Source organism: Homo sapiens, chromosome 16, assembly GCF_000001405.40.
Source record: "Homo sapiens chromosome 16, GRCh38.p14 Primary Assembly".
Lineage (NCBI taxonomy): Eukaryota > Metazoa > Chordata > Mammalia > Primates > Hominidae > Homo > Homo sapiens.
This window is the reverse complement of record NC_000016.10, coordinates 79,568,675-79,582,306: the sequence shown is the minus strand read 5'-3', so window position 1 is coordinate 79,582,306 and position 13,632 is coordinate 79,568,675. Positions and strand designations below refer to the sequence as shown.

Here is a 13,632-nt window from a genome sequence, read left to right as displayed (position 1 = left end):
ACCTGCCAAAATCTCCGATTTACTGCCGCCGTTCACAGATGCCAATGTTTAAACTCCCTTCACCTGCTGCTTGCTGAATCTTTTATTTCCTCCATCCAAAAATTACTGTAAAGTTGTTGTTTTGTGTCTGCAGTTTTGGCTTCTCCTGACACCTAATGAAATTATCAGCAATAAATGAGCTAAAGCAGCAGGGTTGAGTTTTGTGGGTTTGTTTTCGGTCTCTATTTTGCACTCTTAGGAAAATGGCAGGACAACAGTAAGACAGTGGGAAAATTCAGCACGCCTCTGTTTTCTGTATCTATAGGAAATACAGTAAAATTATTAGCACTTATAAAATTTCACATAGGAACTAATACCAAATGGAAGGACATAGTGTCAGGTACTCAGTGGGAAAATCCAACCAGCTGAGAGATTTACAGGTATTGTCAATAGAGACAAGGTGGCCACCGAGCAGTGACCTCAGGTGTAAGCCTGCGGAATGACATTAACACGTAATTAACAATCCAGGGGTGCATTGTACAACTTAATCATCAGTACGGTGAGCCTGACAGTCCAAAAAGAGAGGTGAAGGCAGATTTTTGTCGGTAGGATTGTGTTTTCCCTCGGCAAGCATCATCTAATAATGTGTTTTTTTCACATGCAGTGGTGACGATTTCTTTTTAGTCCTCTCAGTCTATTGAAAAGCACAGTAAGTTCATTTGCTAGCAGGTAGGCAGTAGAGGTGAGAATTGAATTGATCTGAAATGCTCCGAGAAATTGACCCTGAGGTCGCTCTTCCTTTAAATTGGGTTCCACAGACAAAGTTTCTTTTCTTCTTCCCTGGCTCCTGGGTGCTGCCAGCAGCAGAGTTGAGTTGGGGTTTGTAATTATTTAAAGGGATTCTAACGCCAGGGTTGACTCCCCCCTCTGCAAAGTTAATCAAAATAGAGACCTTTTGTTGCCGGTGGTAGTTAATTAAAGGGCTGAGTCTATACTGCTGTGGTGTGCCTCTGGCTTGTTTATATTTTAAAATGAGGTTCATTCCTGATGAACAGGAAATGGGGGAGAAAGCGAACATGAGGGTCTCTTACTGGGCTGAACATTCTGAATAGCAGAATGGAATTTTCTGTTTAACTTTCATTACTTCTTTTCCTCTTCTCTCTCCTCTTTTTAATGGAGTGATTAGAATTCTTTTAAAAAAACTTAAGGTGCTTACTGTACATTTAATAGTGTTGAAATCAAGCACTGCATTTTAGAAGGCGTGTGAGTCTGCTGGAAGAGATGCTTGGCATCTCTCTTCTCTCAGCAGTAAGGGTAGCCAAGAGAGATCAGAAATTCCTTTACCCGTGTTGACCTATTTGACCCAAACTAAGAACTGCTTTCTCATTCTTTGCTCCAGTGGGTAGCACATACTTGAAGTTCTCTCCCAACGCTCAAAGGCTATTTTGTTTATTTGGTATTGGTTTTCTCCAGACTTCTTATTTTAAAATTTTTCTTCTATTTTTTTTTTTCTCCTTTTAAAGCCTGGAACAGTTTCTCACCATTACCTAGTAGAATGAAAATGAAAAGTGCACAGGCTACATGAGCTTTACCAAGCAGGTTCGGAGGTTTGAGGCTGCATCTGTCACAGTAGGGGAGGAGAAAGAATTTGTGATGGGGCCAGGATTTCTCTAAGCCGTGGAGCTGGGGCCACTCAGCTGCCCAGGTCTGAGGGATCCCAGCTGTTCTCCCTCCAAGCAGCGTCTGGAGACTCATCAGACCTTCGAAGCCCCCTGGCATCCCATTCTTTCCCCCGAGGTACTGTCTCTGCATCTTCGATGTTTTTCTAATCCAGCGGAACCACAGAATCAGAACTTCCAGAACTTCTGCTTTCAGCCTCTCCTCATCTTATTTGTCAGTGATAAAGTTGTTCATTGATGTGTCCTAGGCATTCTAGTCAGCATGTGCAGTTTGGGGGAACCGTGTTATTTAGACTGTTCCATCTGTTTGCTCTGATCTTTGATCACTTGGTAGCATCCTGACAAGACCCTAGTCTAAGGGCAACAAAGGCTATGGTCATGAAATAGCACATGACCTGTGCTACAAACCATCCCTGCAGATCTGTGGCCACATAATAGACCCAGTTCTCAAATCAGGCTGATAGGGTTAGTGTTGGAGTGTTTTGGTCCTGACCCTGGAAGAAAAATACAGGGTGCAACTTGGTCTCTGCCTGAGAGTGGGAGGTTTGACAGAGGCGTGGTGAAATGTCACTCTGTTCAAGAGAGGGGGGAAATAATAAGGAAGGGTTTCTTTTTATTTGTTTTCGTCCTATTTTGTTTGAGAGGGGTAATATTAGTAATAAAAAAAACATGCCATCGCTGTTGCTGAGAAATTTTATTTTCTCAAGTATTGGTAGGAGGCTGGGCTGGTGTGTGGTTCCTGCAAGATGTTTCTTTCTATCTTTACTCAACATGTCACAGTGCCATTCAGATATTCCCATCCTCTTCAGCATCATTTCCTTCCACACTAATAATAATAAAGGCACCTTCCCATGTTTGCCATGGTTAAACAATGACATTTTCACTTTAGGAAAGATGAGATCCTAGTGTGTGATTTCATTGTGAATTTGTCAGGAGTTATTTGTAGAGCTATTGAGAAGGCAGTGAGGCAGTTATTCGGAGAATGCATCTTTTTACTATTTCTTTGAAATTTAATTGGGATCAGGCCACTGTGACTCAAGGGTTCCTTTTATTGTTTCTTTTCTTTTCTTTCCCTTTTTCCTTTTTCTTTTGGTATTGCAAGCTGCAATAAAGTGACTTGTAATTTATAATCAAAGTTTGGTATCGGTAAACTAAACTGTAAAAACCGACTTTGGGGTTTTGCTCATAAAATAAATATTTGAAAAAATATAGTAATGAGGCTTGTATGGTAGAGGCAATGTCAGCACATATATATCTGTGTATATAAATATATATGTGTTTTGTTTCACAGATTGTTAAAGCTGGTCTTGAAAAAGCATCTTCTGAAACTGTGACTTTTTCTAACATCCAAGTACAAGGATACATTGATGGGATATAAGCACATTTTCTTTAATGAACTTCTAATTTGTTATTTAAACTCCATTCATAATTCACATTCCCTTACTTTTTCATGAAGGAGTATTATTTTTGCATCAAAGAGTCAGAGTATGCGCACTAGAATTCTCTGTCTGTAAGCTATAGGGCTCCTTAGCTTGGAAGACTTTTTTTTTCTTTCCCCCTAACAAGGAAGCTCATTTAGAAAGAAATGTTTATGTGAAGTGCTTGTCAGTTGGCATTTTTACTGGTTTGCTAACCCAAAGGTAAAATATAAAGCCATGTCTTTTCCTGGCTGGCTTGTTGTTACTGGAAGGGTCCCTCCCTTGTTAGCTTGATAAATAATTTTACTAGGGGGACTCTGCTGTATTTTTATGCTTGCTGTCTATTTTCTGCTTGCTGCAAATAAATTTCTGTACTCAGAGGGCCCTAAAGCTCCAAACACATGGTATTTTCCCATTTTGCTGCTGGTCGCCTGAAATATTTATTTCATGTAGTGTGTTTAATTAATTTTTTTAAAGGAAAAAGTAATTTGCGATTAATAGCAAGTGAAATTTATTTATCTATTTCTCAGGACCATTGGGTTTCAACTTGGACGGATGGCTTTTTAAAAGGCTTTGTGTGTCAAAGCTTCTCTAATATTTGTCAAATGGGAGATAAGTGTTATTTATTGGGGGAGTCTTGTAGTTTTCTCATTTTATATTTCCATGTCTGTTTTTTTCAAATTTAAATATTATCCTGTTAATATGAGAAATGAATAGAGCTATAGAATTCTATCTAGAAACAAAGCACTACATAATAAAATCTTTACATTTGAAAAATGATACATCGTGTGAAAGTAGAGAAGAAATTGATCATGAGTATCAATATAAATATCGGCATGCACCTGAGTCCTGGGCATTTAGCCTTTGGATTCATTAATACTGAAGAAAGCATGGTGTGACTCTCTGGGGCAAAATGGGTCCCTGGTATAAATCTTAAAAAAACTCACCCCAAAGCATACCAATAAAATAAAATAAAAATCAATGTATTCTGTAAATTACAAATACAGTGCACATAGCATATTATAGGTATACAATAACATGTTTAGCCAAGGAGTTAAATTTATAAATGCTGGTTTAAAAAAGTGATCATTTTAAATTAATGCCAGATTATCTCATTAATTGAAATATATATTTTTAAAACAGCTATTCTGCTTGTTATTTGCTATTTATTATGGGCTCATTAGTTCAGAAATTGGGAAATACTTTTACAAAGGTACCAAAGACATAAATTTGAAACCAGAATGCCAGCATATGTAACCAATGTCAAGGGTATTGAACAGACTGAGTCAGAGGTTACCCAGAGCTCAGTTTCTGCAAAGGTCACCAAAATGAAGAGGAAAATGTAGAAAAAGGGGTCGATGGAAGTTTTAAAATATACATGGAGATCCACAGTCAAGATTCAGAACATTTCATTTTTGGGGCATTGCACCATAATATTTAATCACAAAATTTTACTATAGATAGACTTTCATTTTTCTCTAACTCTACAACAGTGGAGACTATTATGAAAGTCAGATTTTAAAAATATGTACAGAAAAGTTAACATTTAGCATTTCTTCTGATCACTTGAGGGCTATTCCAGCATGTCAGGAGTTAGAGACAACTTCCGTGGAGCAGAAGACAGTGATGTTCCCGAAGCCCTGCCCTTTGGAGGTCACCCAAAACCTCCATGGGCTATGATGACAACAGCTACCATGCACCGAGTGTCTCCTGGACACCAGATCTATGCCATCTTTGACCTGTAACAATGAATAGAGAGGCAGATATTCTAATCTCCTTCACACAGATTAGGAGACTCAGGCACAAAGCAATTAAGGTATCAATTGACCCTTCACCACAGTCATGCAGATATTTCTAGATAGACACTATCTCGACCAGTTGATTCCCTCATTCCTCCTTAGTTAAGCAGCCCGTTTTTCACCTCAGCACATGTAGTAGGAGCCCAGGTGCCCTCCTCTCCGTCTTTGTCATCTTTTTCTCAGTAGGGTTGACTGAGGCCCAGAAGAAAATGCATATAATGTGATTAGTATCAAGGCTGGAGCTGTGGCTGCCAGTGGTCTTGATCCAAGACCCCTCCGGCTCTGAAAACAAATGATTCTGTGGTTTGATATTGGTAGGTAATGAGTGGCTTTTTTTCTACTGAAAAAGAGAGTGTCCTTTTATGACCATTTAAAAAACAATAGATGGCACATTTCGTTAATACCCTGTAATGTGTAAAGTATCAGGTGCACTGCTGGCACTCAGGAAATTACTGGATAGTGAAGATAAATCAGCATTAAATCACTCTAATAAAAGTCCCATTTAATAAAAAGTTATCAGCAAAATCTGTAGTAACACTAAAAAGGATACAAAGTTTCTGCATCTGTAAGATAGGAATAGCCCCTCAAAGGCATGTGTAGAGGACTAAATATGGTAATGTATGTAAAGCACCTGGATTAAATATGATAATGTATGTAAAGCACCTGGCACAGGGTAAACACTCTGCCATGCTTGGCCTTGGACAATATTATATGGAATAAAAATTTGACCTTGACACCTTGCAAGCCTTGGTTTGTTTTAGAATCACTTTGCCGTTATGATATTGGACGTTTCCCTCCTACACTTTAAGTTTTTCAAGATTGGAAAACTAAGAAAAACATACAACGTTAGTTTATAGCTGCCCTCCTCTGAAAAAAAAAAATAGCACTCCTCCTGAAAAATAAATAAAGTTGTGCTTAGGGAGTTTTGTGGTCAAACAATTTAGGAAAATTAAGGGTCAGAGAAAGTTAAACATTTAATCTTGCTATCATCCGCCTCAGAGGCTTTGTATACTAACATGCATGACGACCCTCCGTGGGGAAGGACCAGCTCAGGTGGTATATGGTATCTTTCAAACTTCCAAGAACATGGAACCAGTTTTTTAATCAATCGCCTGATGGAATTCACATTGTATGGGGCACTTTTGAAAAATGGTTGCCTAAAGTACTGGTCCTTTTTTTTTTTTTTTTTTTTTTTTTTTTAGTACCACAGGACTCTTTTATTAATCTCTCCCCATGAAACCATTATCTGAAAAATTCATTTGTCATTCTTTGTATTCATTTTATTAATCAGAAAAGCAAGAGCAGTGATACAATTCCATTGATGTATACTCAGAAGATAAGAAAACCTTATGAGGGTAACCCTATAGGTTTTTACAGTGGGGTAAAGGTCATTATTCCCATTAATAGTGGGAGTGGCTCATGAGTACCTTTACTGTGTTCATAGGCTCCCTGTGGGATTTCAGGACCCCGGTTTAGGACTCTCTGTTCTTGTAGAAAATCCAGGATCACTGATTAAATTGACCCAGACATTTGTGATGGAATGAGCCTTCCAAGGAAAGCAGAGGTAGTATAAGAATGTGTTAATTTCCTAGGGTCTTGGCCAGGGATTCTTTGGATATAAAAACTATGCTTTCAGGTTTCTGTTCCTTTGTTATAGGTATGAAGGTATCTATTAAGGATATAAAATAGAAGCTGGCTAGCGGGAAAAATTGGGGATGAAGGTACATTCTCTTTGTCCCACGTTCCTCCCTTTTCTCTTTTTGCACATCTGCTTTGTTCTACCTCCAGAAAGCAGGCAGGCCTTCTCTACTGTGCAGTACAAATTATTCCCACCATCACCCCTGGGTCCCACCCTAAACATGCCAGTTCCTTTGAAACCCTCAGCAGAGGTTGGCTAGAGTCTCTAAGCTCCAATTCTCAGAAAAGATAGCTGATTGGCTCCTCTTGGTCAGGTGTTCATCTCTTGTCCAGTCAGCAGTAGCTAAGAGTGAGTCCTCATGGCCCCTTGCCTGCTTCATTAGATTTTCTGAAAATGGGGTTATAGGAATTGTCAGAAAAGATAGCTGACTGTCTCCTCTTAGTCAGGTGTATATCTCTTGTTCAATCAGCAGTAGCCAAGGGTGGGCCTTCATGGTCAGCTGCCTGCTTTTCTGATAATGGGGTCATGGCATTGGGTAAGGCTTGGGCAATGACCACTTCACAATAGGGGAGAGGGAAACTTGTACTGAGATTCATGTGCACCCCTTTAGAAGAGAGGAGTGAGTAGGATTGGGGCATAAACGGGTCTCTGAATCTAAAGACTGGTTTGTGGGACTTTAAAAACATTGATGCCGTGCCTCAGACCACATGAATCAAGAACCTTTAGTGGCCGTTGGGGCTCAGACATCAGTATTAAAAAAAAAAAAAAAATTCCCAGTGATTCTGATGTACAATTAGGATTGAGAACTCCTAGTAGAAGAACCCCAGGGACACAGTTATCTACTGAAACCCAGAAAGGCAAGAAGCTGCTGGTGAATTTCCCATATTTTACTCTGAGTTTTACAACTCAGCATGTCTGAGGTCCAGTTTAAAATGGAAAGGGATGAACAGTTGCTTTGCATTTCCCCTGCTTCATCTGCCCTTCCTAGTTCTTCATTGACATCAATGCTATTCTTTATAAGCAAGCCCAAGGCAGTCAGGTAAGGTGCCCAGGGAAAGTGAGTTGAAGTTGGTGTCTAGAAGCCTCAGTTTGAAGCCAGACTTAGCCACTAAAGCAGCCATGTGACCTGGGTAGGTCACATTCCCCCGATTGCCCTGCTGAGTCTCACTCTTCTCTTTTGGAAAATGGGTCAATTGAGCTATGGTCAGAGGTCTTCCATGGGTCTCACGAAATCAGTGAAGTGATCAGTTCATCCCAGAGCCAGCACTTGAACTAAGAGAGATGCATAGACGATTTTGAGGTGTTAGAATGGCTCATTTTAACGGTGTTGATGGTGTTTTTAAAAACATTCTGCAGAGAAAAGAGAATAATGTATTTAGTTATCAAGTCACAAGGATGGAGGTATTCCCAAATTATTTGCACAGACTTCTGCAGATACCAATAAAATATTTATTTATTTGTCATCATCAGACACTTATTTACTGTGTGATTGGGGCTAAAGTAGAAACAGGACTGAGGGAAAATGGTGCTGGCTGGAATTAACCAAGATACTTGATCGCACACTGTCAGACTCATTGATTCTCCTCTAAAGCATAGTATTAAACCACACAAAAGTGGGCCTGCTCCAAAGGCACTCTTCACTCTGCCTTGTAAGACAATTACGTTTTAAATTTCTCATCTCCTCTTGGACGCTAAACTCTGTGAGCGTGAAGTTCACGCCTCATTTATTTTTGTGTCCAACACAGCCCTGTATCGGTGAGTAGCACATAGTAGCTGTCTCAGATCCTTTCCAGAATGCGGCACGGTATACCTGAATAAGCAATTAGGTACACAAACAGGCAAACGAACGGGAGATAAGAGCCTGGTAAAAGTTTGTGAAATGACCAAGATGACATCTTTGCAATCTGTCAAAATTAGAAGTTATTCTCTTAACTTTGTTCTAGGTTTTCAAAAGACCCCTAGCCTGACATTTCCTTGTCACTTTTGCAGACTAAGTTTCCTTTCCTGGACAGCCTGTTAAATGTAGTCTGCACTAGTGCTATTACTTAATGTTCTTCTTTGGACATATATTAGAAAGTTCGTCTTTTTTTCTCTGACTGGTTTGTTGTCAAAGTTATTAAGCTTTAATTATTTTAAGATTTCATTGAACAAATATCTATTGTGTATTACCTATACAGTAGAAAATGAACATGGTGCTGAGGATATAGAAACAAATAAAACGCATTCTTGCTTTCAAGATTTATTATTGATTAAGACAGTTAAAAACATAAATGCTGGTCCTGTTTGATCAATGCTTTCCAGAAGATATGGGGGAAGAAAGGGCGGGGAATTTTTCAAACATGGGTTTATGAGGTGAACAGGAGGGGTGTAACCATTTTGTAAACACCATGCATAAAAACAAAAGCTTCAAAAGTATCAAAAGCAACCTAGATTTTTAATCTGGGATATGGAAGATTTTCCTTAGCCTGATGTAAAACCCAAATGCTGTAAAGCAAAGGCTCGGTAAGTTTGATGACATAAGCATTTAAAACTTATGCAGAGCAAAAGCACAACAAAACAAAAACACAACAAAAATATGAAAACACTAAGTGGGGAAAGTTGCAACCACAAGATAGTCAAAAACCTAATTTCCTTAATATAAATAGCTCCTGGAAATCCATAAGAAGATAAATGACCTAATAGGAAAATGTCCAGAGAAGAATGGACAGTTTTTGGGGAAAAAAAATACACATGAATGGCCAATAACATTATGAAACAATGTTCAACCTTCCTCACAACCACATAATAATGATATTTTCTTTTGGCTAGAACATAGAATGATTGGCAGTCTCCATACACCATTGTGAGCATTTAAATTGGGTAACCTCTTAAGCAGCTAATATTTATAGCATCTTATAGCACAGACTATTCACAGACATAACACCTTTTTATACACATTTCATGTTTGGGAATTTTAATTCAATACAGCACTTTGGATATAGCTGGAATAAACAGTGTGTTTATGTGTGTGAGTTGGGGAGGAAGGATTGCCTCGGACACAAGCCAAGATGGGTAGACAGGGCGCAGATCAAGAAGAAATTCGAAGGTCAGGCCAAATAAGGCGTGAAAACAGGAGGCTGAAACTCAAGAGAGGAATGAACTAAAGTGGTCAGTGCCTGGCATTTGGCATGTTTCCCTCCTCTGAAGCCACTTCTGCCTAGAATTCATTTTTCAAATGCAAAACATTTTCAAATGTGAAACCGTCCAGGTAGCCCCTCCTCCTGATCAACCTGAATTTGCTCTGAGCTCTCCACCAGATAAAAGAGACGTATGTGCGTTAATTGAATTAAGGCCGGTATTGTTCATTGAGCTGTGGCAGCGGTTCCTCTGTTCTAGGATTTTTCTGTATCATCTGCATTGTCACAGCCAAAAGTGTTGGGGGAAGAAAGGGAGGGGCATTTTTCAAAGAACTACATGGGGATTTGGTCACGTGCCTGCCATTAACATCAATCGCAGATGCAGGGCAAAAATGCCTGGCACGTCCCTCCACACACCTCTTTGAAAAACGGCCCCTGTGGTGTTGCTACCAGACTCCCCTCCACCGATACAGGATTTGGGGGCTTTGAAGTTGGTTGTGGAAATTTCACTGTTTTCTTTGACTCCAGCAAATTGCTCCAAAATGCTACAAATGTAAAAAAGACTGAAAAAGCTTTAGCAGCAGCTTAGAGGTGGAATCCCCTTAAGCCATTGACAGAAAAATGTGTTTCTTCTTTCAGTTTTTAATTTGTGAGTTATATCTTAAAATACACCAATGCAGTCATAGTCTTTTCTTAGGAGAAGGAAAATGAAGAGTGAGTCAGGCAGGGGCAGGGGCTGGCAAAGAAAGGGGGAGATTTTGCAGTTCTAATTCTTTGACCTTGTTGCACTTGGGGGAAGTCCTGGAAGCAGGGACAAAACTTCCTGCAAAGAAATGATGTAAAACATGTTTTGTTCAACGTGGCTGAAAAGCATTTCCAGCATGGGTCCAGTTGGAGCTCCTTCGTGAATCTAGATTTGACTGGGTTAAGAGAAGCTGGTGATGCCAAGGCTGGAAACCTTGTAGACCTGTAGATCTATCCTGCCTGAACCTAGGAGAGCAGAGGATAGAGAGATTTGAACCCACTACGTTTGGCCTACAGGATGCAGTTCTTGGCATGCTTAAAATTTTGCCTTAACAGTTTCCCATTTTATGGGGAAGTACTGGGCTTTGGTGCATTTGTAAAAAAAAAAAAAAAAAAAAAAAATTCCGCTGAGATGTTTTTTTCTTGTAGTATGCTAATACTGCACCAGGCTAGAAAGAATTATGGAGTGGTGGAAATGACCACTAGAAGCTCCCTGGGCTTCAGTTACCACCTCCATAAATTTAGGGATTTGGCATGAATCAGACGTTTTCATACCGGTTTTATTTTGTTTTGTTTCTGCAGAGGAGCCGTTTTGGAAAATGAAAGTGTATCTGGGATCACTATGTAAAAGAGAAGTTGGAAGCCACTGAGGGTGGAGCTGATTCTTCAAGTTCTTAGACCTTCCTCCCTCCCGCTCATCCCCCTGGGACACTAAGTTCTATGCAGCCAAATTTGAATATCTATGAGATGTACTTCTCTCTAAGGAAATGTCAGCTCAGACAGTCTTGGATGTAGCAAAGGATCACTTTTTTTTTTTTTTTAACTGGAAATGTGGGGATTCCTCAGGGTGGAGCAAACTACACAGTCATCAGTGCCAGACCTTTCTAGCTTTGTGACTTTGGGAAAGTCACTTTCCCTCTATAGACGCTTGGTTTCCTCACCTTTCAGATGAGAATGCTAGAACAGATCTGATGGAATTCTTATACAGGTTAAATGAAGGAACCCAGGCGGCATCTGTTAAGTGCCAATACCAGCTGGCTGCTCTTTTCCTCCTTACGCTCAGCATTTAGCACAGAAACTCGCACAGAACATATTCCCAGTAAATGTTTGCTGGATTGACTGTCAGTAGTATGCCCATAGGCATGGGCTCAGAAGGACCAGTTGTATTGTATCTTCTCAATTCCACATCTGGGGACTTTACACTGGTAGCATGAAATTGGCCATCGTGGGAATATTTGCAGAAGGGAATACAAATGCTGTAAAATCAGAGCCCGTTTCCTTATCCTGACCCACCCATAGAGCCAGTTGTTAAACACCTAGCGGCACACCATTGCGTGAGCTTCCCAGATGAACGATTTCAACACAGGAGTATCAAATGTATATCTGCTATTGCTAGTCTGGTGGTAAGCACAAACTAAGCAGAGAAGTTAGAGATGGCTGTGGGCTGGAGATGTCAAAGAAAGATCTTGGAAAATGGAGAGGTTATGGATACCCAGGAAGAAGTGATAGGATGCTCCAGGGCTATAGGGAATAGGATAGGAGGGAACATGGCTGGGTTAATAAGGAAATGGCTTTGGAATCTGAAAGACTGGGGAGAAGATAGGCCAGCAAAGAGCTGAGGAGGGATGGGGGGATAACAGGACATTTTGGAAGGCCAGGGCTGGAGGGAGGGGTTAGATTAGGCAGAGCCCAGAAGGATGCTTAGGTAGTGTTAGAAAGAAAGGTAAATCTTATTTCCATCCAAAGCAATAATTCCTTTACCTTGCAGATATGTCCAACAGCATGAAAAGCATCAACCTGTCAATTTAATGGCTTTCTTAACCTTTTGAGCTGGTGTAGAGTCTAAATAAATAGCTTCCAAACAGCTGAAGAAATTTAGATAAATCAATGGAAGAAAGATCCAAAAAAAAAAAAAAAAAAAGAACAAAGACAGGAGTGGGGCTTTGGGGGCTGTGGTTTGAAGCTGACAGCAAAGGATCCCACCACCTGGTCTTTGCTGCATCCCTCCCGGATTCCAGCTGATGGATCATGAAGCCAACGTCAATTGTTTGTATTTAACTTGTTTTACTTTGACCCCTGCCTCCCTAAGAGCCGGGGACAGCTCCCTCTAGGTTGGTGGTTCCTAACATTGGTCACTTGTGAAAATCATCTGAAAAGCTTTTCAAATACAAATGCCTATTCCCCAGCCCAGATCAATTAAATAATCCTGGGGTGGTACCCAGGCATCAATAATTTTTTCAAAGCTCCCTGGGTGACTGTACTGTGTAGCTAAGGCTAAGAAGCACTGTTCTAAGGCACGAGTTCTAAACTTCAGTGAACATCAGAATCACACATTGCATGGCCTCACCCCGAGTTTCCGATTCAGGCAGTCTGAGTGTAGAGCCTGAGAATTACGTTTCAAACCTGTTTCCAGGTGATATTGGAACAGGGACCACATTTGAGCACTTGAGAACCTCTGCCTTCAGTAACTAAAGCAGGATTTGGAAAACAATCTGATAGAGGAGTTAAAGACCACATCCCATCCCCAGCTCTGCAGCTGCCATCCAGAGAAACTCACCTGTTTAAAGCAATGGGTCTCAACTGGAGGATGCTGCTCCTCCAGGGACATTTGGCAATGTCTGAAGGCATTTTTGGTTGCCAAGACTCAAGGCAGGGGGGCCACTGGCCTCCAGTGAGGTTGAGACGAGGGATAATGCTAAACATTCTACAATGCACAGGGAAGACCCTCCCACAAAGCGTTATCCGACCCTCGATGTCAATTATGCTGGGACTGAGAAACTCTGGTTTAAACTCTCTGAGGCTGTTTGGCTTCCTAGGTGAAGTGGGAATAGTGAGACCTGTCTTTCTAGATTGTTGCTACGAATGAATGAGATCCTGCAGGGACTTAGGCAGGAAGTGCTCAGTACATGGTAGACATGCTTAACCTTCTAGCTGACTAATTTAGTGACATAAACTTGCATGAGGGGGCTTAACCTCTTTGGATCTGTTCTTCTCATCTGTAAAATGGGCACAGTAACAGACTCAGTGTTCTGAAGAATGCTTGTAAGGATTAAAGGAGATAATCTACGTAAAGCCCCTAGAAGTGCTCAGTAAACATGATCTATTATTGCCATTTCTGTTAGATGTTTACACAGGCCTTGATTCTGAAGGTTGTCTTGAAGGGTTCAAGATGCTCACTTACTACTTCTCAATTTGTAGGTCCACTAAAAGGTGGAAAGGCAGCAAATTTCTAGTTTTCAGGTGGCAAGGACTCAGGAA

General features: G+C 40.5%; 1 protein-coding gene across 7 annotated transcripts in view; it reads left to right on the top strand.

Moving 5' to 3' along the window:
- Positions 1-13,632, top strand: part of MAF (MAF bZIP transcription factor) — a 398,116-nt gene that overhangs the window by 18,431 nt on the left and 366,053 nt on the right. Inside the window, exon 3 of one of the 7 annotated variants that reach the window (XM_017023234.3) lies at positions 10,957-12,258. The exons of 5 other annotated variants lie outside the window; for them this stretch is intronic. The gene's annotated coding sequence lies outside the window, so the exon portion shown is untranslated. Of the gene's footprint in view, positions 1-2,949; positions 5,610-10,956; positions 12,259-13,632 lie in introns of those variants that run through there. One more of the 7 variants, XM_017023235.3, reaches the window with a different exon arrangement.